Source organism: Homo sapiens, chromosome 5 (assembly GCF_000001405.40).
Source record: "Homo sapiens chromosome 5, GRCh38.p14 Primary Assembly".
In the NCBI taxonomy this organism is placed as follows: Eukaryota; Metazoa; Chordata; class Mammalia; order Primates; family Hominidae; genus Homo; species Homo sapiens.
The window spans coordinates 102,600,844-102,623,113 of NC_000005.10; the positions used below are offsets into that span (position 1 = coordinate 102,600,844).

A 22,270-nucleotide genomic window follows, 5' to 3' on the forward strand; every position below is an offset into this window, starting at 1 on the left:
GTCTACCACCATGAAAATGTCTTCTCTGTGTGGTTCAGGGAAAGGGGGCCAAGTTCTACATCTTGATTTGTGTAGAGCAGAAGTAAGAGGACCATTTGATTAAGGAGGTGAGATGCAAATGAAATGAAATGTTGAGAAAGTTAAAAATGTATAACCAGAAAGGACGACGAGAATGTCAATCCCCAGAATTAAAAGTTATTTAAAGAGGACCTGGGGCTTCCCATGGAACAGGAGCTTGGACCAATTTTGTTTGAACCTCAAAAAAAAAAAATAGCCTTCCCTGAAATCTGAGTCACAGTTTAAGACTGTTTTCTGTCCTGGCAGAATGCCAGAATCATCTGGGGAACTGTTAATAAAAACTCCAAATACTCAGGCTGTACCTCAGAATAATTAATTCTGAACCTCTTGGGATAGTACCCAGGCATCATTAGTATTTCAACATTTCCCAGGTGATTCTAATGTACAACCAGAGCTGAGAACCACTGGTTTAAGTCACGGAAGTATCTTTAAGGAATTCTTCTAATTTTTGAACAAAGTGCACTAGAAGAGAAGTGAGTAAATCAGGTGTTCTAAGAGATGGAAGAAAAAAACACCGAATCAAAGATATGGAGAAGATGATTCAATTTTGTAATAAAATTGAGTGTATGAGAACATAGAGGAGACCTTCAAATTTGACTAACATGAATACATCATTTTGCTGTGTAAAGTGATTTGAGAAAATAGTGGGGACAAAATTTGGATTACAAAGTTTTGAAATAGAAAAGAGGAAATAGAAGTAAATATTGACTACTTTTTCAAGATATTAAAAAGGATGATGAGACCATGACATGGAAAAAGCACGGAAATAACTAGGAAACACAGATGTCAAAAGGAGGCTTTTATAAATCAAAACCAAATTTGAATACTGGGAACATTCTGACTATTCCTGACAGCATACTTTTTTTTATAGTCATAAGTGAGAGGTGGGAATCATGTTTATATAAGAATTAAAAACACTCCTTTGCTTTTCCCCACAGGAGGAAGAATAGAGAACACATATTAATTACAGCACAAAATATATGTAGCTGTAATTTAATCAACTCAATTATTATTTATAGGTGTCAGTGGTTTATTCTTCTGTTTAATCTACCACACATATGTATAGGTTTCATAATGCAGAATTCCAGAGAGAAATAACTTATTGAATTCAAGTAAGCAATTTATACCGATGTATGAATGATGTGAGTTTCTAGACCCCTTAGAGAGATTTGCCTTCTAAAATATAGAAAGCATATTAATATAAATGAAGTTCTATTTGGCTATCTGAAGAAGAAATTTGCAGCAGAAGACTTGCAGCAGAGGGCCTGCAGCCAAGTCTGTGTTCCAGCTGGAAATGAGTTTTTCTTTGAAGTCAACTTCTGAAAACTGGCCCTAGATATTTGCTGCCTCCACTTCTGAACCCCAGGTTATTTAAGAATGCCACTTCCCCTTCACTGGGTCCCAAAATAACTCTGTTCCCCAAAAGAGATGATGAGAGGAAAGTAGGAATGATAGTAGCTATTCTCATATGTGAATCAGTGGAACATAAAACTAGATTCAGAATATCAATCATGAAATTGTTCCAGGTGCTTTGCAAGAAAAATAAATTAAATAATATTATTTTTTAACTTTTATTTGAGGTTCAGGAGTACATGTGCAGGTTTGTTATACAGGTAAGCTTGTGTCATGGGGATTTGTTATACATATCTAAGCTCTAAGCCCAGTACCCAATAGTTACTTTTTCTGCTCCTCTTCCTTCTCCCAGCCTCCACCCTCAAGTAGGCTCCAGTGTTTGTTGTTCCCCTGTTCGTGTCCACGAGTTCTCATCATTTAGCTCCCACTTATAAGTTAGACCTTGCAGTATTTGGTTTTCTGTTCCTGCATTAGTTTGCGAAGGATAATGGCCTCCAGCTCCATCCATGTTCCCACAAATGACATGATCTTGTTTTTATGGCTGCATAGTATTCCATGGTGTATATGTACAACATTTTCTTTATTCAATCTGTCATTGATGAGCATTTAGGTTGATTCCATGTCTTTACTATTGTGAATAGTGCTGCAGTGAACATTCACATGCACATGTCTTTAAGGGTAGAATAATTGATATTCTTCTGGGTAGATACCCAGTAATGGGATTGCTGGATCAAATAGTAGTTCTGTTCTTAGCTCTTTGAGGAATCACCACACTGTTTTCCATAATGGATCACTAATTTACACTCCCACCAACAGTGTATAAATGTTCCCTTTTCTCCACGACATTGTCAGCATCTGTTATTTTTTGACTTTTTAATGATAGCCATTTTGACCTCTGTGAGATGGTATCTCATTGTGGTTTTGATTTGCATTTCTCTAATGATCAGGGATATTGAGGTTTTTTTCACATGTTTGTTGGCTAAGTAAATGTCTTCTTTTGAAAACTGTCTGCTCATGTCCTTTGCCCACTTTTTAATGGGATTGTGGCTTTTTTCTTGTAAATTTGTTTAAGTTCCTTATAAATACTGGGTATTAGACTTTTGTCAGCCGTGTAGTTTGCAAAAATTTTCTCCCATTCTGTAGGTCGTGTGTTTACTCTGTTGATGGTCTCTTTTGCTATGCAAAAGTTCTTACGTTTAATTAGATCCCATTTGCCAATTTTTGCTCTTGTTCCAATTGCTTTTGGTGTCTTCATCACGAAATCTTTGTTCATTCTTATATCCAGAATTATGATATTGCCTAGGTTACCTTCCAGGCTTTTTATAGTTTTGGGTTTTACATTTAAGTCTCTAACCCACCTTGAGTTGATTTTTTTACATGATGTAAGGAAGGAGTCCAATTTCAGTCTTCTGCATATGGCTAGCCAGTTATCCCAACACTATTTATTGAATAGGAAGTCTTTTCCCTATTGCCTGTTTTTGTCAGCTCTGTCAAAGATCAGTTGGCTGTAGGCATGCAGACTTATTTCTAGCCTCTCTATTCTGTTCCATTGTTCTATGTCTGTTTTTGTACCAGTACCATGCTGTTTTTGGTTACTGTAACCCTGTAGCATAATTTAAAGTCAGGTAACATGATACCTCCTGTTTTGTTCTTTTAGCTTAGGATTGCCTTGGTGATTCAGGCTCCTTTTTAGTTTCATATGAATTTTTAAATAGTTTTTTCTAGTTCTGTGAAGAATGTCATTGTTAGTTTGATAGGAATAGCATTGAGATTCAATGTAAATTCCTTTGGGCAGTATGGCCATTTTAATAATATTGATTCTTCCTATCCATGGGTATGGAATGTTTTTCCATTTTTTTGTGTCACCTCTAATTTCTTTCAGCACTGTTTTGCAACTCTCATTGTAGAGATCTTTCACCTCCCTGATTAGCTGTATTCCTAGGTATTTTATTCTTTTTTGTAGCAATTGTGAATGAAATTGCGTTCCTGATTTGGCTCTCAGCTTGGCTGTTGTTGATGTACAGGAATACTAGTGATTTTCATTCATTGGTTTTATATCCTGAAACTTTGCTGAAGTTGTTTATCAGCTTAAGGAGCTTTTGGGCCACAACTATGGGGTTTTCTAGACATAGAATGATGTTGCCTGCAAACAGGGATAATTGGACTTCCTCTCTTCCTATTTGGATGCACTTTATTTCTTTCTCTTGTCTGATTGCCCTGGCAAGAACTTCCAATACTATGTTGAATAGGAGTGGTGAGAGAGGGCATCCTTGTCTTGGGCCAGTTTTCAAGGGGAATCCTTCCAGCTTTTCCCCAAAAAATAATATTCTTACAAATCATATGGGACATACTTGTATATTACTATATTCTTATCTCCAAACAGCCCTTCAGAACAGTTTCTGCCATCCAGACCACCTGGGTCCTGCCTACCCAGAGACTTTTCTGCTTTCCTCTTGAATGCACATGTCTTTCTGGATAAAAGGAAAAAAAGTATCATTAGATTTTCAGTTTCTCACTGTTCCCTCTAGAGTTTTATGGAGAAAAATGAAAAGAGCCTTTGGAGAGTACAACTATTTCCACAGATCCTGGAGAAAGGACACTCAATATTTTCCAGAGGAGTTACTGAGATGTGCTTAGTGAATAGCTGCAGCAAGCCTTTGCCTAGGGGTTATGAGATTTCCTGGTCTACGAAGTCACATGTGAACCGTGAACAATCTCTAAGGATAGAAGTGTGGCAGAGATCTTTCAGTTACGTAATTAATTAAGAGATCTTACTTGAAGATCAATTATCAAAAGTAAAGTGATTTGAGATTTGATGGGGCCACTCTTGAATAAAATTTAAATAGAATTTTGGAATAGAACTAATTCCACAATACCAGAGATCATGTTTTCATAATGCCAATGTGTCTTTAGACTCTAGAATGGCCTCTGTTTCTGATATTTACACTACTTTGCTCTCTTTGCTTATTTGTTTTGTTATAATTCATCATTTATTGAATATTTTTCACATGCTGGGTACTTAACTTGTCTTATTTAATCTCCACACATAACATCATAAGTGAATATTTATGTCCTTGTCTACAGATGAGTAAATAGAGGCTCAAATGTGTTGAGTAGTTTACTAAAGGTCACAAAGCAAACTAGTAACAAAGCTTAAATTTTGATATCAGATTTATTTGGCTCTAATGTTCACCTTTCATTATATAAATTACATTAATTATCTATATGTTTAAAGGAGCTTCATAACTATATAAGATGGAAATTTTAAATCCTCTGTGCCAGCAGAATTTCAATTCAGTGCTACACAAAGCAGTGAGCTTACTAGATAGGTTAAAGGAAAGCTGAAGTAAGCTGCTGGTAAAATAGAGTTACATAGAGGATAAGCAACATCGTTTCTTAGCAGTAAAGGTGTCCTTCTGGAGAGATAGAGCGTGCCATTATTCTGGCTTGATATTAACAGGTCAGGCCAGGTGCGGTGGCTCACGCCTGTAATCCCAGCACTTTGAGAGGCTGAGGCAGGTGGATTACCTGAGTTCAGGAGTTCGAGACCTGCCTGGCCAACATGGAGAAACGCCATCTCTACTAAAAATACAAAATTAGCCGGGTGTGGTGGCGCATGCCTGTAATCCCAGCTACTCGGGAGGCTGAGGCAGGAACAACGCTTGAACCTGTGAGGCGGAGGTTGCGGTGAGCCAAGATCTCACCATTGCACTCCAGTCTGGGCAACAACAGCAAAACTCTGTCTCTAAATAAATAAATATACAAAAAATTAGCCGGGTATGGTGGCAGGTGCTGTAATCCCAGCTATTCAGGAGGCCGAGACAAGATAATCGCTTGAACCCAGGAGGTGGAGGTTGCAGTGAGCTGAGATCCTGCGCTGCACTCCAGCCTGGGCAACAAGAGTGAAACTCCATCTCAAAAAAAAAAAAAAAAAAAAAGAAAAAGGAAAAAACAGAGTAGCAGGTCATACATAACACCCTAGCTTTGATTTAAGGAATAATCTTAGGAATTTTAGGCTGAATTTATGTGGTTGACATGGAAGCTCAACATAATAAGAGTGATTTTACTGGCTGACATCAGAAATGGGAAAAAATATTCTGTTCTTTTAATCTTGTGATCCTTGGGAGAAAGTGGTGGAAGTTTAAGATTTTGAAATGGTTGTGAGATGAGGAAAATAATAAACTGGAAAACTTAATAGGGTAAATAATAGTTGTGATATGAGGAAAATAATAAATTGGAAAACTTAGTAGGGTAAATGGATTTGTGACCAAAAAAATTCCTCATTTTGCACAAATTATTAATGAATTCTGTTTGTGTGGTTAGCACTGCCAGGTGCTGTGTTAGGTGGACAAGATAAGTAAAGCACAATACTTCCTCTCCAAGAGCTTATAATATGATTAGGAAGCAAGGCATAAATACAACAAGGTATAGTTTAGTGTCAAAATAAGAGGTACTGATAATAAATCTATAAAATTCAGAGAAGAAATAAAGAAATGAGGACTAGAGTGCTCATTCAGTCAACTAATGTGTTTATTAAATACCTCCTATGAGCCAAGCAATACAATATAATTAACTCTAGGGCTAACCAGTAGAGCTTTCACACGTGAGAGGTTTGAGGTAAACTTGAAAAGACTAAATATTTAGTTAGGCCAGTTAAAGAAAAGAGGGGGGGTGGCGGGCGCGGTGTCTCAGGCCTGTAATCCTAGCACTTTGGGAGGCTGAGACGGGTGGATCACGAGGTCAGGAGATTGAGACCATCCTGGCTAACACGGTGAAACCCCATCTCTACTAAAAATACAAAAAATTAGCCAGGCGTGGTGGCAGGCGCCTGTAGTCCTAGCTACTCGGGAGGCTGAGGCAGGAGAATGGCGTGAACCCGGGAGGCAGAGCTTGCAGTGAGCTGAGATCGCGCCACTGCACTCCATCCTGGGCAACAGAGTGAGACTCCATCTCAAAAAAAAAAAAAAAAAAAAGGTTGGGGGGACCAGGGGCAAGTGACTTTCTAAATGAGTAAAGATTTTAAAAGCAGCAAACTTATTACAGCTTTAAGCACTTTACATATATGAACTCATTTAATCATCAGAAGAATTCAATGAAATAGGTACCATTAGCATTCCCATTTTACAGATGAGGACCCTAGGCTCAAAAAGGTTAAGCAATTTACTTCCTAAGACACATAAATAGAAAGTGGTATAGCTAGCATTCAAATGCATAGAGTAAAAGCTTTCATTGCTTTTATTTATAGCCTCTTAGATCCCCTGTTAGGGAGGACCTGGCTGTACAAAGAACACAATGTTAGCATGCCTTAGTAGGTTTATCACCAAAAGTCTGGATAGCATTGAGCATTAGAGCTTGGTAGTTCTGATTAATTTTTAAGATAGTGGTCCTCAAACTTCATGGTATAGCAGATCACCTGGAGGACTTCTTAAAACACTGATAGTTGAACCCCATCCCAGACTTTTCAATTAAGTAGGTGTGGCCTGGGCCCCAAAATTTACATTTCCACAAAGTCCCCAGTGGTGCTGATGTTGCTGGCCTGAAGATCATACTTTGAGAACCACTAATTAAGAAAACAAGTTCCCAAACTTCCTCACAAATCTTATTCCTGGGGGCCTTTCATCACTGAGCACAGAGCATGTGTATCAGACCTCTCTATTTCCACATCCCAGCAATGTCAAACAACATACCTAGAATTGAAATCACTGTCTTCTCACTGAAAATATGCTCTTGTGTTTTTGCCCTCTTAAGTGATGGCACAAGTTAACTTCATACTTTTGAAGTATCCTTGACTTTCCTATCTACCAACATCGTCACATTGATTTTCCTCTTAAATACTTCTTTCAACAAATATTTACTAAGCACTGCCGTGAGCTTCATAAATATTTCAGGATGGATTTAGAACGAAAGATGTTGAATACTTCAAAATATCACCGCCAGATAGCCTCCCTCACTGTAGTAAGAGAGAACACCCCCTTGACAGTCTTAGCAATGTTGTACAAAAGAAGGTATTTATAGGATTTGGAGGTCTACCTCAGGTAGTTTAAAAGGGCCCTTCAAAGTAGAAAATGGATTGAGATGGAGCAGTGGTCAGCACATAATAGCTTAGTATTGGTCATCAGAGCAAGATGATGGTTTTAACGAATAAATTGCTGTTTGATAAGTGAGCTATTTGCCTAGTCAAGCAGAGTGTTATCTCAGACAAATTGATTTGCAGGAATTACTTGCAAACTATTTATTGGTTACAGTCTTATCTTTCTTGGACAAATGTTTCACGGAAAAAAATAGTAACTCATGTTGACACAGGTGGTCTCTGTTCTTAGTCCTAATAGCTATGTCATGTTGATGTAGGTGATTGCAGTTCTCAAAGACACTGTGCCCTAGATTTAAGGAACTTACATTCCTGTGAGCAGGCCAACAGGGTTCCGGAAAAACTCTTCCTTGAATTAAAATTAACTTATTTGTAAGGTAGAAAGTGTCCACAAAAGAAGAAATATCTGAATTTTCTCGTGGAAGTCTTCGCAGTGGAGGTAGCACAGATTTTGAATAAATAGGGAATGAGGGCAATACAGTATACAGAGGAAGAGGAATACAGAAAAGTCCCAGAGACATGGTATATCATGGCACCATCTCTTCTCTACCTGCACTCCTAAGCTTTGGGTCAGGCCTTCCTTTTTTTCCTAATTATTTTTAAAGTCTTTAAACTGATTCTCCTGTCCCTAGCTTTGTACATGGACATCCCAATTCACCCTGTGCTCTACAGCTAGCGATATATCTATCTGTAACCCTGGCACCTTCTCTTAAGCCCATGGAGGGAACAATATGTAGTGTTCCTCTGGGGAGAGGAAAAGATAGTAAAGGAAACATTCTGCCTCCTTCTCTGGCTGGGTGAGGTCCACAAGGGGCCCCCTTTGCTGCCCAATCTCTCATTATAAAAGTGTACATGACTGCCATTCCAGGATGGGGTGGTGGTATTTTCCCTTTTTCTGACTAATGAACTCAAATGTATGGGATTCTGAAGAAGACCCAAACAGGTCTTTACTTAACATTTCAGATGATAAAACACAGATTGTATAGAGTGATGGAGTGAGGTTAGAATAGACTACAGGTGGCTTTGCATCCCTTATTTTACCTAACCCTCATTCTTGTAAATGATCACTAAGGCTTCACTTCCTAGACTCCCTGCACATATCCACATGCATTTCCCTCCAATTGCAGGGTCACCCCGTGGACAACTTCTTCTTTCTCTCCTGTGCAACTCTCTTCTTGCATCCCCAGTGCTTGGAGACTTTAATTCCTTTTCCTCTTCTCTTCTTGGATAGTGGACCTTCTCCCAGCAATTATCAGACCTTTGGCCTCTTTTGGGGTCTTGAAAAACTTTATGGTCTCCCACTTGTATGCTGAGGGTTGCTGGGTTAGAGTGTGAGTCAGTCACAGCTATTCTCTTCCCATCTGCTTCCAGTGCTGGTTAAGGGGAGACAGGGAATTTCCAGTTCTGAGAAGAGGAGAGAAAGAATATTTGGGTTGATTGTCCATTTTGTACTGCAGCTTAATTTTATTTTTCTGTTTTTCTTTAGCAATATCTTTTTTAAAAATTCAGATATCTTGTCCCACAAGAGTTAATTTCCAAACAATAATAGTTACCAACTCTATATATGAAATTCCCATCCCCTTTTCTAGAGGAATGTTTAACTTTATTTTGCTTTTTTTAACGTATCTTTCTCTAACCAAGATTAATCACATTATGTATCCTTCTTCCATTAACTTAGCTTTTGGCGGTGTCATATCCAATTACCCCTTCTCAACTCCTGGCCTCCTCCTCCTCAACTACAGTGAAAAAACACAAGGAGAGTCCTATGACATAGCTCACCACATAACAAATCTACTTAAAACCCTCGAAGTTTTCTCATTGCCCATGAAGAGAGCACATGCCTGTGAAGAGGCAGACATTGCTTATCTCCAATCAATAGCTGCCATGAGAAAATGCAGATTAATGGTGGCAAATTTTCAAGAGAAGCCAAAAATCATGGAGTTTAAGGGCAATATCCCATTTTTAAATCTTGGATAAAATAAAAGAAAATAAAGCAAATGTGAAACAAAAAAAATCACAAAAAAGTATATCTTCACTCTCTGTCCTAAAAGATCAAGTTCAAACTTCTTGTCAGGGCAAAGCCTCCTAATAAACTGGCCCCTGCCTCTTCTCCAGCCTCATCTCTCATTACTTTTCAACAGCTAATGAATGCAACAGCAATATTAAACTGTTACCTGGTTTTAGAGCTACTGCCTCCTCTGCCTTTGAACATGTCTTCTTTGCCTGGAGTATTTTTATAAATATTAACTACCTAGCAAATTTCTCTTCCTGTATCAAAACCCTTTGGACACATAATCTCCTCTTACAAGCCTTCCTGGATCAACTTCCCAAAATCATTCTCTATGGCATATTACTTCGGTACCCAACACATTTTTTTTATTATTGTTATTAGCTTCTATTTATTGAATGCTTATTTTGTGCCAAAAATGATAAAACAAAGGTAGGGAAGAATAAAGTAGCTTATGTAAAAACACAGAGTTAGAGCAAGAGCAAGAGCTCTCTTAATTAAGTAGTTAAGTCCTATCTGTCTCCAAAGTCTACTATGCAGCATCCACTTCCATATTCTACTGCCTATTTTTTACATGTATTATTGTTTAGGTCAATTCTCTCATCCCTTACCTGAGATTAAGTGACAAGAATAATGTTTTATTGATCATTTTATTATTAGTACCTAGGATATTGTATGCATTCAATAAATGTTTGTTGTACTGAGCAGAACTGTTTTAAATGCAGATCATATAAGGTTTCAGTATTACTCTAATTTTTTTATTGATTAGTCCTTGATGTTTATCTAAATTTAACTTCTTCATTTTGAATCATTAAAAAGAGGCTCAATGTGATGTTTTGAAAATGTATTACCTTATAAAAGGTAGAATTTTAATTATTTTAATAATGATACACTTAATTCAAGTAATCCTTTTCTGGACATTGTTTAAGAAGCAGAATATTAGCTTGTCAATACCCAAATTTCAAATCTTGATTTAGCACAAAAAGCCCAAATTTGGAGAATGAATTTTAATTATTGATTTCAGGCAAACATACTTAATCTCTAGTTGGCATGTCCTCTCTGTATCCTGAAGAACTTTTACAGAAGGGATCAAGCTGTAATTGTGTCTTCCTGGATAAGCTGTTGATGACTCATGTGTGTCTTATATATGGCAAGATGATCTGGCTTACCCACAGTCGACAAGGCATATAGACAACTTTCCAGCAAGGAGAAGCCATTCATGCTCAACCTTTTAACTGTCTCCCCAAGTTGCTCACAAGAGCAAAATACATGGGCTAAGGAAAAGAGTCTGACTTGACAAAAACCTTCAGCAAATGGGATCTATGAACATAATCTTACCACATCAGGCTCAAATTCAGTATTTAATTACCTTTTCCCTTCCCCAGCATCCACAAGGAATCTAACATATTCTCACCTGTAAGGCTAGAACTCTCAGTGTGGGAGGAAAGGGGAATTGGGGGAAAGGGAGAATCTCACCCAACAGACCATTCAGAATATCAGGAGGATATATGGAGTTTCTCACCATGTGATTCTGATCAAGCAACCTCGTGATGGGCTGACTCCCAGCTTCCTTTTTGGACTGTTCCTGTCACAGAGAGAGGTTTTATTCTAGCAGATGATTTGGGTACACAGTACCCATTGAGATACTGATTTCTGAGATTGAACTGATATGGATGTGGATAGATTGCTTCTAGGAGATTTAGTTTGATATATGATGAGAGTAACTGTCCTGAGATGCTAAAAATACTTCAGCCTTAACATTTTGGTAAAAAGAGGTAAAGGTAATTATTCCAATTTAAAAATAATGCCATTTATTTCTTTCTCTTGCCTGATTGCCCTGGCCAGAACTTCCAATGCTATGATGAACAGGAGTGGTGAGAGAGGGCATCCTTGTCTTGTGCTGGTTTTCCAGGGGAATGCTTCCAGCTTTTGCCCATTCACCATGACATCAGCTGTGGGTTTATTACATATGGTTCTTATTATTTTGAGGTAGGTTCCTCCAATACCTAGTTTATTCAGAGTTTTTAACATGAAGGGACACCGAATTTTATGAAAAGCCATTTCTGCATCGATTGAAATAACCATGTGGTTTGTGTCTTTAGTTCTCTTTATGTGATGAATCACATTTATTGATTTGCATTTGTTGAACCAATCTTGCATCCCTAGGATGAAGCCTACTTGATCGTGATGGATAAGATTTTTGACATGCTGTTGGATTCGGTTTGCCAGTATATTGTTATGGATTTTTGCATCAATGTTCATCAAGGGTATTGGCTTGAAGTTTTCTTTTTTTGTTGTATCTCTGCCAGGTTTTAATATCAGGATGATACTGGCCTCATAGAATGAGTTGGGGAGGAGTCCCTCCTCCTCAATTTTTTGGGAATAGTGTCTGTAGGAATGGTACCAGCTCTTCTTTGTACATCTGCTCAAATTCAGCTGTGAATCTGTCTGATCCTAGGCTTTTCTTGGTTGGCAGGCTATTTATTACTGCCTCAATTTCAGAACGTGTTATTGGTCTGTTCAGGGATTCAATTTATTTTTTTTTATTATACTTTAAGTTCTGGGGTACATGTGCAGAACATGCAGATTAGTTACATAGGTATACACGTGCTGTGGTGGTTTGCTGCAGGGATTCAATTTCTTCCTGGTTTAGTCTTGGAAGGGTGTATGTGTCAGGAATCTATCCATTTCTACTAGATTTTCTAGTTTATGTACATACAGGTGTTTGTAATATTCTCTGTTATTTGTATTTCTGTGGGGTCAGTGGTGATATCTTCCTTGTTGTTTCTGATTGTGTTTATTTGAATCCTCTCTCTTTTCTTCTTTATTAATCTATCTACCAATCTATCTATTTTATTATTTTTTTCAAATAATCAGCTCCTGGATTCATTGATCTTTTGAATGATTTTTGTGTCTGAATCTCCCTCAGTTCAGCTCTGAGTTTTGGTATTTCTTGTCTTCTGCTAGCTAAGGACTTTGTTTGTTCTTGGTTCTCTAGTTCTTTTAGTTGTGATATTAGGTTGCTAACTTGAGATCTTTCTAACTTTTTGATGTGGGCTTTTAGTGCTATAAATTTCCCTCTTAACACTGCCTTAGCTATGTCCCAGAGATTCTGGTATGTTGTATATTTGTTCTCAGTAGTTTCAAAGAACTTCTTGATTTCTACCTTAATTTTCTTACTTATCCAAAAGTCATTTGGGAGCAGGTTATTCAATTTCCATGTAATTGTATGGTGTTGAGTGACTATCTTAGTTTTGAGTTCTAATTTGATTACACTGTGGTCTGAGAGACTGTTTATTATTATTTCAGTTATTTTGCATTTGCTGAGGAGTCTTTTACTTCTGATTATGTGGTCAATTTTAGAATAAGAGCCTGTGGCAATGAGCTGTTGATATGTTTTGGCTGTATCCCCAAGCAAATCTCATCTTGAATTGCAGTTCCTATAATCCCCATGTGTCATGGCAGGGACCTGGTGCGAGGTAATTGAATTATGGGAGTGGTTATCCTCATGCTGTTCTCAAGACTGTGACTGAGTTCTCATGACATCAGATGGTTTTATAAGGAGCTTCCGCATTTCACTCACTCTTCTTCCTGCTGCCATGTGAAGAAGGATGTGTTTTCTTCCCCTTCTGCCATGATTGTAAGTTTTCTGAGGCCCCCTCCAAGCCCCATAGAACTATGAGTAAATTAAGCCTCTTTCCTTTGTAAATTACTGAGTCTCAGGCAGTTCTTTATAGCAGCATGAGAATTGACTAATACATAAGTATATTCTGTTGTTTTAGGGTAGAGTGTTTTGTGAATGTCTGTCAGGTCCATTTGATCCAGAGCTGAGTTCAGGTCCTGAATATCTTTGTTAACTTCCTGTCTTAATGATCTGTCAGTGGGATGTTAAAGTCTCCCACTATTATTGTGTAGGAGTCTAAGTCTCTTTGGAAGTCTCTAAGAACTTGCTTGATGAATCTAAGTGCTCCTGTGTTGGGTGTGTATATATTTAAGATAGTTTAGGTCTTCTTGTTGAATTGAACCCTTTACCATTGTGTAATGCCCTTCTTTGTCTTTTTGATCTTTGTTGGTTTAAGGTCTGTTTTGTCAGAAACTAGGATTGCAACCCCTGCTTTTTTCCATTTTCCATTTGCTTGGTAGATTTTCCTCCATCTCTTTATTTTGAGTCTATATGTGTCTTTGCATGTGAGATGAGTCTCTTGAAGACAGTGTAGCAGTGGGTCTTGGTTGTTTATCCAGCTCACCACTCTGTGTATTTTAATTGATGCATTTAGCCCATTTGCATTTAAGGTTAGTATTGATATTTGTAGATTTGATCTTGCCAACATGATGTTAGTTGGTTATTTTGCAGACTTGTTTATGTGGTTGCTTTATAGTGTCACTGGTTTGTGTACTTAAGAGTGTTTTTGTAGTGGCTGGTAATGGTCCTTTCTTTTCATATTTAGTGCTTCCTTCAGGAGCTCTTGTAAGGCTGGTCTGGTGGTAATGAATTCCCTCAGCATTTGCTTGTCTGAAAAGGATCCAGAAAAATGGGATACATTGGAGGTGTTTTAAGTATAACTATTCTCTTACAACATCACAGCCAAATGCTTTCCTTTTTTTCCTTTACTTATAGGGCCCATGTAAGGTAAGAGTTTTCCCCCAGCTCAGACATTTAATCACCCAATTGGTGAGAAGAACATATCACTCAGCCTTTTATCTTCTTATGCCTTTTTGGGAGTCCACAAAGTTTGCTAAGTTTGAGAAAATACTTTAAAGCATTTCTCTTCACTATTACTTACTCCTGGGGCTACTCATCTAGTATCTTTTTAGCACAGGAGCAGAGAGGCTAGAGACCCTGATAATACAATTATTTCACATCCCCTTCTTCTCCTTCCCAATCATACAAGTGCTGCTAAGTTTCTTGATGTGATGGGTCAAACACTACCAGGGTTTGCTGCTGAGTCTAGCCTACCCTGACAGATCGTTTCTTTGAATAAAGGAATATTTCTCCCAAGAGCCCAACAGCATCCCTAAAGATTATATGACAGCTAAGAAGGCTTTGCCTGTTCAGAGCACAAAGAAAAACAAAACAAAAATTATCTCTGGGATAGGAGCTAAGGAAATGGGTTTCGTCAAATCACACAAAATAATATTGATGAATCTCAGCACCGACCCAACCAGAATGCCAAGTTAAAGGAGACAAGAAATATTTAGAAAGGAAATACCATATGTGAATATGCTGGGTTTTGTTTGACTTTGAAAACTGTATTGCATTTTATTTGCTGGGATGAAACATCTTTTACGGAAAGAGAAAATATGAAAATAATAAGATGCCAAGAAAACTCCCCATGTTTCTAAATTTTTCTTTCAGTAAAGGCACAAAGTGGAAGCAATGGATTCAAAATAACATAGAAGGCCTGCAACCTCAGGAATGTAGACTATTGATTTCAAAGATGTGGAGGGCTTCTTTGAAAGTAGGCATCAGATAATCATGGGAAAGACGAAGCAAGAAAACAATCCACTCTGAGGGAAGGGAAGACCATACAAAGATTGAGATTGGGTCAGCATGGAGAATTTCAGTTCTTACATGCAATCTAATGACAAAGTTATTGCTAGTCATTTTCTAACAGTTAATCTCCATTACAATAACCTCATAATCAGCTTCATAGATGGCTAACAGACACATCCTATTATTTTGTCTCTATCAAGTTTTTAAAAGAATATGGAGGGAATCTACCAAATCAAACAATATTTTGCACAACCAGTCACTTGGAGAATATGTAAATTTGGGTATTGGCTTAAAAGTTAAAACATCAAGGATATGAGCTTTAACTATGTGTTCCTCCAGCAGAGTTCTGGGTACGCATTTGGGGTATAATAAGTAACAAAACGTAAATTAATATTATTCAATGTTTATTGAAATATTGATATGTATATATATAAATTTAACTCTTTCAGAGGTAAAATTTTCCAAATTTACCCCACTCAGTCTTTCATCAAATCTCTTTTCTTGAGTGTTTGCTCCATTCTTTTCTACATTGCATAATGCTTCTCTAAAATCTTTCAGGGTTTATTTCCTTTTCCATGAAAAAAACTTTTTGTTACATTCAATCTGATTGAGAAAAGCAACAATGTTTCTTGTAGCACATGAAGGTAGAGTCTATGGCCTAAGCATATGCAGTCTGTTTTTATTAGCACAATAATTTGATTATATGGGGTATAGGAATGACTAAAAATTTGCATAATTCACACAAATAAGGCAAAGATAGCCAATTAGGATGCACAAATTATTTTCCTAGAGTTCAGTAGAGACAAAAATTATTTAAAAAAACAACCACAACAGCTAAATCAAGAGCTAATGATCAGATGACAGGATGACAAACCATAAATATATACTGGATATCACTACAGCCTTCAAGACATGTGGTCTTCCTCCTTTTATTTTTTTTCTATCTTTTTGATGATATGTGGAGGTAGACTTGCACAAACTTTCTTTCTAAAATATACATCACTTCCAGTATTTCAGTGTCCCCTGAATCTCAGACTCATTTTACAGGAGTAGCAATTTCATATGCTGTAGAAAATAAAGAATAAGAAAGGGGAACACAGGAAAAATATATAAGTTATAGAAATGTCTTACGATGTGTCAATAAATTAGTATGGAAACCCACTTGTTAATCCTATTCATCCCCCCAAAAGTATTGCATAGGACCTATGCTTAGTACCTATTATTATACACTGGTTTAATATTTATTAGGCTCCTACTTACCAGAGATGGTGGGACATTTATTATAAAATATCAAAGTTCAGAATTCTTCAGAAAGTACTTTCCATTTACAGATGCATTTGTCATTGAAGAAAAACATCTTACAAAGGAAGTTTAAAAGAGAACCCAGATGAATATTTCTTCAGATGAACCACAAATAAGTTCTGATTTCAACATGTTCTACAACTCCCCAGAGCTGAGAAGCTAAAGACGGTTCTACAGTATCATATTCCAAAGGCATCACAGGGTTTAGCTGCTAATGCAATAAAGTGGTTTTTGTCTTGGAAGCACGCAACATCATGAATAACATTGTCATCTAGAAACAATGAGCCAATAGGCACCATTTTGTGTTGTAACCGAGCAGGCTTGCTTGATTGTGGATGCAGATATGCCCACCCTACGTAAGTTGACATTTTGTACAGACTAGAAGAAATGTGTGGTATGAGATCAATAAAGAAGTAACTAAAAGTAAAAGACTCTTAATGATTGTAAATGAAGCTGAGAACAAAAACTTAGATCTCAATAACCTAGAGTTATGACTCTAGGGCTATGGTCTGTTAACATCTGCTTCTTGGGTAGGAATGTTTTTCTTTCAAAATAACAGTGCTACATGAATCAACAGCTTCCAAAGGAACTATTTCATGCCATCCAACCTTAGGTCTCAGACCTGAAAAAGCTCATTGATCTTTGGTAAAATCTCAGTTACATAAGTAGGAAGTTATTTTTAAAGCCATACCAGATGCTACAGTTCCTCCTCATTGCTCCCACATGGATGTTCACTGTTTATTCAGAATTGAGCCAAAAGCCCTGAAATAAGAAAGTTAAGTATGATTCCCTGACAAACCAAGAGAACAGAGTTGCATGCAATGGATCTGTAAATATTTATTTTAGTTTTATTATTTGGCTGATGGCTTTTGAGCTGGCCACTCTTGCACAAACACACACACACACACGCACACACACACACACAAACTCAGAGATTTTCCTTAGGAGGCTCATGGTTTTCCTTCTGCAACTGACAGGAGAATTTCTTCCTAATTTAAATCATTTTTATAGCCTCCTAAGTGAGAGTAAAACATTTACAGATAAACTACAACCCTACCTCATCATTTTGCCAAGAGAGGTATAAAGTAGTCCATGTTCTTCTGTCAGAAATAATCTTTGGTAATATAAAAATGATAATTTATTTCATCAAATTGGAACTCATGTTAAAAGGAATTGTTATTGTCATGCCTTATCCATGATTTGAAGAGGTTTTTATCATGTATTTTTTTTTTCTGTAACTCGGGATTCACATTTGATCTCTAGTAAAAGAAGTTAAAGAAATGTTCAATTACCAGATCTCATTGAGAAGGTAAGTTTCTGACTGTATTTGGGGTTGTCAAAGATAAAATGTCAAAACTACATAGACTTGTCTTACATTTCTCCAGAGAATGTATTTATTTCCTGTTGTATCCTTAGTATCTAGAACAGTAGCTGGACAGTATTAAATAAATGAGTGAATAAAGGACTCATCCTCAGTTATCAAAACAATCCCAATTTTTAAAGCCATAATTATTTCTCTTTTATTTCCTAATAAGTCAGGTGGTGAGTATCATTGCCTGTGTAAATCATTAGTATCATCTCCCACTATAAAGTTTTATGTTATGTTACTTCTTACTGCCTGACATGCACTTTATTATTAATAAACACTATCCAGTACTATTATTTACCATTTCCATGTAGAACTACCAATATTATCATTTAGCATATTTTCATGTAGAATTACCACTGTATTCATAAATAAGATTGAAGCACTCATTTGCTTAAAATTTCCTGGTAATGCCGGTATAATGCTTAGAATAAACATCAACCTCTTGCCAAGGATTAAGAAGCCATACATGATTAAGCTTTTTTTTTTTTTTTTTTTTTTTTTGTATTTTGAACCTTATCACCTACCATTCTTGGTCTATACACTGAAGGACATTTCCACTTTAGGAATTCTGGCTTTCAGTAAAGGCAAAGTAGCTTATATTAGACTAGCCCTCCTGCTGTTAACAATTAGAAAGTTAAGTGGGAAAAAAACTACTATTCGAAGCCACTAAACAGTGACAAAATTGTCATATTTGAAAATTGTCAGGATTTGAAAACAGCTCCGGATAGATAGAGCTCAAACAAAACATTATTACTGGAAAAATCAGATGAGAGATCTGGGGGCTGCCCGAGTGGCTGGATATTGAGGGGGAGAAATTCTGGAAGGGAGGGTGTTACAGAAAGGAAAACCCCAAAATCTTTGTATAACCCCCATTCAAACTAAACTGCTGACAGTTAGGGTGAGACTCCAAGGAGCTTGCAGGAAGGCAGCAGTTAACAATGACTTTAGTGGATGCACACTACAGGAGAGTCAAGATTGGGAATTAGAGTTATATCAAGTTTGACTGGCTTATGAAGTACCTCAGGATTTCTATTAAAATCACAGAAGAGGCTGGGTGTGGTGGCTCACGCCTGTAGTCCCAGTACTTTGGGAGGCCGAGGCAGGCAGATCATGAGGTCAGGAGATTGAGACCATCCTGGCTAACACACGGTGAAACCCCATCTCTACTAAAAATACAAAAAATTAGCCAGGCATAGTGGCACACGGCTGTAGTCCCGGCTACTAGGGAGGCTTAGGCATGAGAATTGCTTGAACTCGGGAGGTGGAGGTTGCAGTGAGCCAAGATCACGCCACTGCACACTCCAGCCTGGGTGACAGGGTGAGACTCTGTCTCACAAAAAAAAAAAAATTGCAGAAGAACCACACTTTAGGATTAAAGACTACAATCCAAGACTAAGTGATTTAACAATTTAACTGCCTGATAGAAAAAACAATTGGATCCAGAGTCTCTATCGTATCCATACAATATCCAGTATGTAATCAAAAATGACTAGACATATGAACAATTAGAGAAATAGATGACCCATAGTCAAGAGAGGAAGAATAGTTAATATACTAAAACAAACCAGATCTTAGTATTAATAGACAACTTTAAGGTAACCCTAACAAATATGCAAGAGAATCTGAAGGAAAAGTTGAATATAATGAGATTAGGAAATTTCAGGACATATGTGAATACTGTTCAAAAATGAACAGATAAGAAGTTTAAAACTGAAAAAATATATATCCAAAGTAAAAAAAAATTGAATAAGATTCATACTGGATTGGATACAATACAAGAAAACATTAGTAAACTTGAAGATAGTCAAAATAAATTATATATACTGAAGCACAAAGAGAGGCATGACTGAAAAAAATAATGAGCAGAGCCTCTCATGAACTTGGGACAGCAGTATGCCAAGATGTATGCTGAGAGCAGTTGGTTAACCTCATGGCAGAAGGAAAGGATCAGGGTCCTCTGATTTTTAGGATAACAGCCCTAGTCTTCCTGAAAGCAGCTGACTCTTCTGGCACTCACAACTAAAGCTTGTGTGTACTGGAACTCAGGTCTGTCATGGGCAGAACAGAGGCTGGCTAGACTTCACCTCAATTCCCATTCCTACTGACCCTTCTTTCAGTCCATTGGTTTGACTTTTGCTTCTGCTGCTATGACAGATATCTGGCTCAACTTGTTTTCATGCCATACTGAAATCCTAAACTTTACAGTCTCCTTCCTGAGCACTGAGCAGTCTCATTGGTGTGGTCTGGCCTAGAAAATGATACAGTTGCAATCAGAGAGGTGACCACTTTTCAGAATCACAAATGGGGAGCAAGACAATACCTTCTCCTTGCCCTCCATCCTTTCCTACCACTTTCACTCTTAATACCACAGGTACTCTATAACTAGCATGGAGAAAGGAAATCTTTCTTGCTTTCTCTGTGATCTCTAACAAATTACCAGGCCAGGAAATAATATGTTTATGTCCTGTACCTCTTCTCCTCTCCTTTCTGTCCTTAAGATGTATTCTGTGGCTTCATTGTCAAAGGCAGAAGGGGAAACTCCTCTATTCTACAAAAGAATGCTGCAAGTTTAACACCTGAGCTACTAAAAGCAAAAGGAGGATAGAGGACATTGGGAAATCCTATCTTAAGACAGTTGACTGACTATTATGTTACATTATAATCTTATTTAGCAAGGCAGAATCTGACTGTATTAGTTCATTCTCATGCTGCTATTAATAATAAAGACATACCCAAGACTGGGTAATTTATAAAGGAAAGAGATTTAATTGACATGCACTTCTGCATGGCTGAGGAGGCCTCAGGAAACTTACAATCATGGTGGAAGAAGAAGCAAACATGTCCTTCTTCATATAGTGGCAGGAAGGAGAAGTGCAGAGGGAAAGGGGGAAAAGCCCCTGACAAAACCATCAGATCTCATGAGAACTCACTCACTGTCATGAGAACAGCATGGTGGGACTGCCTCCATGATCTAATCACCTCCCATGAGGTCCCTCCCCCAACACATGGGAATTACAATTCACATTACAATTCAAGATGAGATTTGGGTGGGGACACAGAGCCAGACCATATCACTATTATCTGCCTTTGTATTCCTTTTTCAGCAAATTCTGCTGTCTCTCTAGATTGCCAAAGATTACTAGCACTAAGGTGGAGGGGGGTGGTAAGAAAGAGGGGGAGTAAAATAATTTTTTTGAAATATTATTATTCTCAATTTTTTTTTATTTATGACTATGCAATATGAACAGAGCTGGAATTTATAAATCCATTTCAGGATAACTTTAATAGTCATATGAGTCCTGAAGCCCCTTGCATTTTAGACAAAGCTCATTATCACAGGATGCTGTTACTGGGGAAGGGGAGAGCTGTGGTCATGAGCCTTATGATATTGCTTTATAAAAGTGACTCCTCTTTTTCCCCAACTCTGAATCTCTGTCACCATATCAAATGTAGGTTTCTCAGGATGAAATTGAGAGTAATTTTCATCCCTGAAATTTCCTAGTAGATTCTTTTCTCCAACTTTAATTATCACCTCCTGCGGACCATTATAAACTGTATCAGATTTCATTCATATCAAGCATTGAATTATGGATCAAATGATCACATTAAATTATGATTATTTTTAATTCCCAGGCATGTGTTTATTATTGAAGGAATTCTCACACTTCTTTTCAAAACATGTTCTCAAGTGAATCTAGTGATAAATATACAAATTTATTTATGGTAATCAAAAAAAGAAGATTTAGCATAATGACTGATGGCATACTCATTTAGAGACAGATGTTCAGGGGATTTAATTCAAAAAAAGGAAGTTTTTAAACTTCTTCATTTTGACACACACTCTCTCTCTCTGTCTACATATATATGTGTGCGTGGGTGACATACATATATTGCAGAACAATCCCCTCAGGAGCAATGAATTTCAGATGTGTTGTCTCTGCTGTTTTATTAATGACACTATCTGGTGGGCATCAATGAGTCACACGAGGGCTGCAACAGATTTCTGTCTTTTCTTAAATGTCTTGTTCTGGTTTCTATCAATACAGCAAGATAAAAAAACAACTCATGCGCATAAACCTTAGGCTGATGTAGCAGCTGAGTTTTATGTGTATAACTAGAATTCTAAATATTTAATGTATAGAGTTCTTTCTAATTTCAGAAGAAATATGAAGGCAGTGCTCCTGAAATCCTACACGCTAGTCTATCATTTAAATCCAAAAGTGAAGGATTATGGTTCAGAAGACTTCAAGTTGGCATTTGATGGTTCAGAGGAAATGAAGCCATTTCAGAGTAAACTGCATATTTTCTAAGAAGAGAAGAAATTTTTGGATGTGTATTTTATTTTCTGCATAGTAGCCATGATATTTCCCATGATCAGAAAAGCATAACATAAAGCCTAACAGCGCTGTGAAAAACAAAGTTATTCCTCAGAAACAAGGTACAGTATCTATAATTGGAAAAAATAGAACTACTAAAAATATGGAAAAAAATTTTCTATAATAAAAATATTAATCTCATGATATTGTGAAAGCATCACTACTCTCTTAAGCTTTGTCTATCATAATGTATAGTCTATAT

General features: G+C 37.2%; 2 long non-coding RNA genes across 5 annotated transcripts in view; one reads left to right on the forward strand and one right to left on the reverse strand.

The window, feature by feature from the left end:
- Nucleotides 1-16,746, forward strand: part of LINC00492 (long intergenic non-protein coding RNA 492) — a 36,222-nt gene extending 19,476 nt beyond the window's left edge. Inside the window, exon 2 of the long non-coding RNA NR_047462.1 lies at nt 16,353-16,746. This is a non-coding gene — a long non-coding RNA (long intergenic non-protein coding RNA 492). The remainder of the gene's footprint in view (nt 1-16,352) is intronic.
- The window catches only part of LINC00491 (long intergenic non-protein coding RNA 491), a 62,973-nt gene continuing 48,351 nt past the window's right edge, over nt 7,649-22,270 (reverse strand). For 2 of the 4 annotated variants that reach the window (NR_103756.1, NR_103753.1), the window contains one exon: nt 7,649-8,923. This is a non-coding gene — a long non-coding RNA (long intergenic non-protein coding RNA 491). Of the gene's footprint in view, nt 8,924-11,049; nt 11,113-17,014; nt 17,086-22,270 lie in introns of all 4 variants that reach the window. The other 2 variants (NR_103754.1, NR_103755.1) reach the window with 2 other exon arrangements.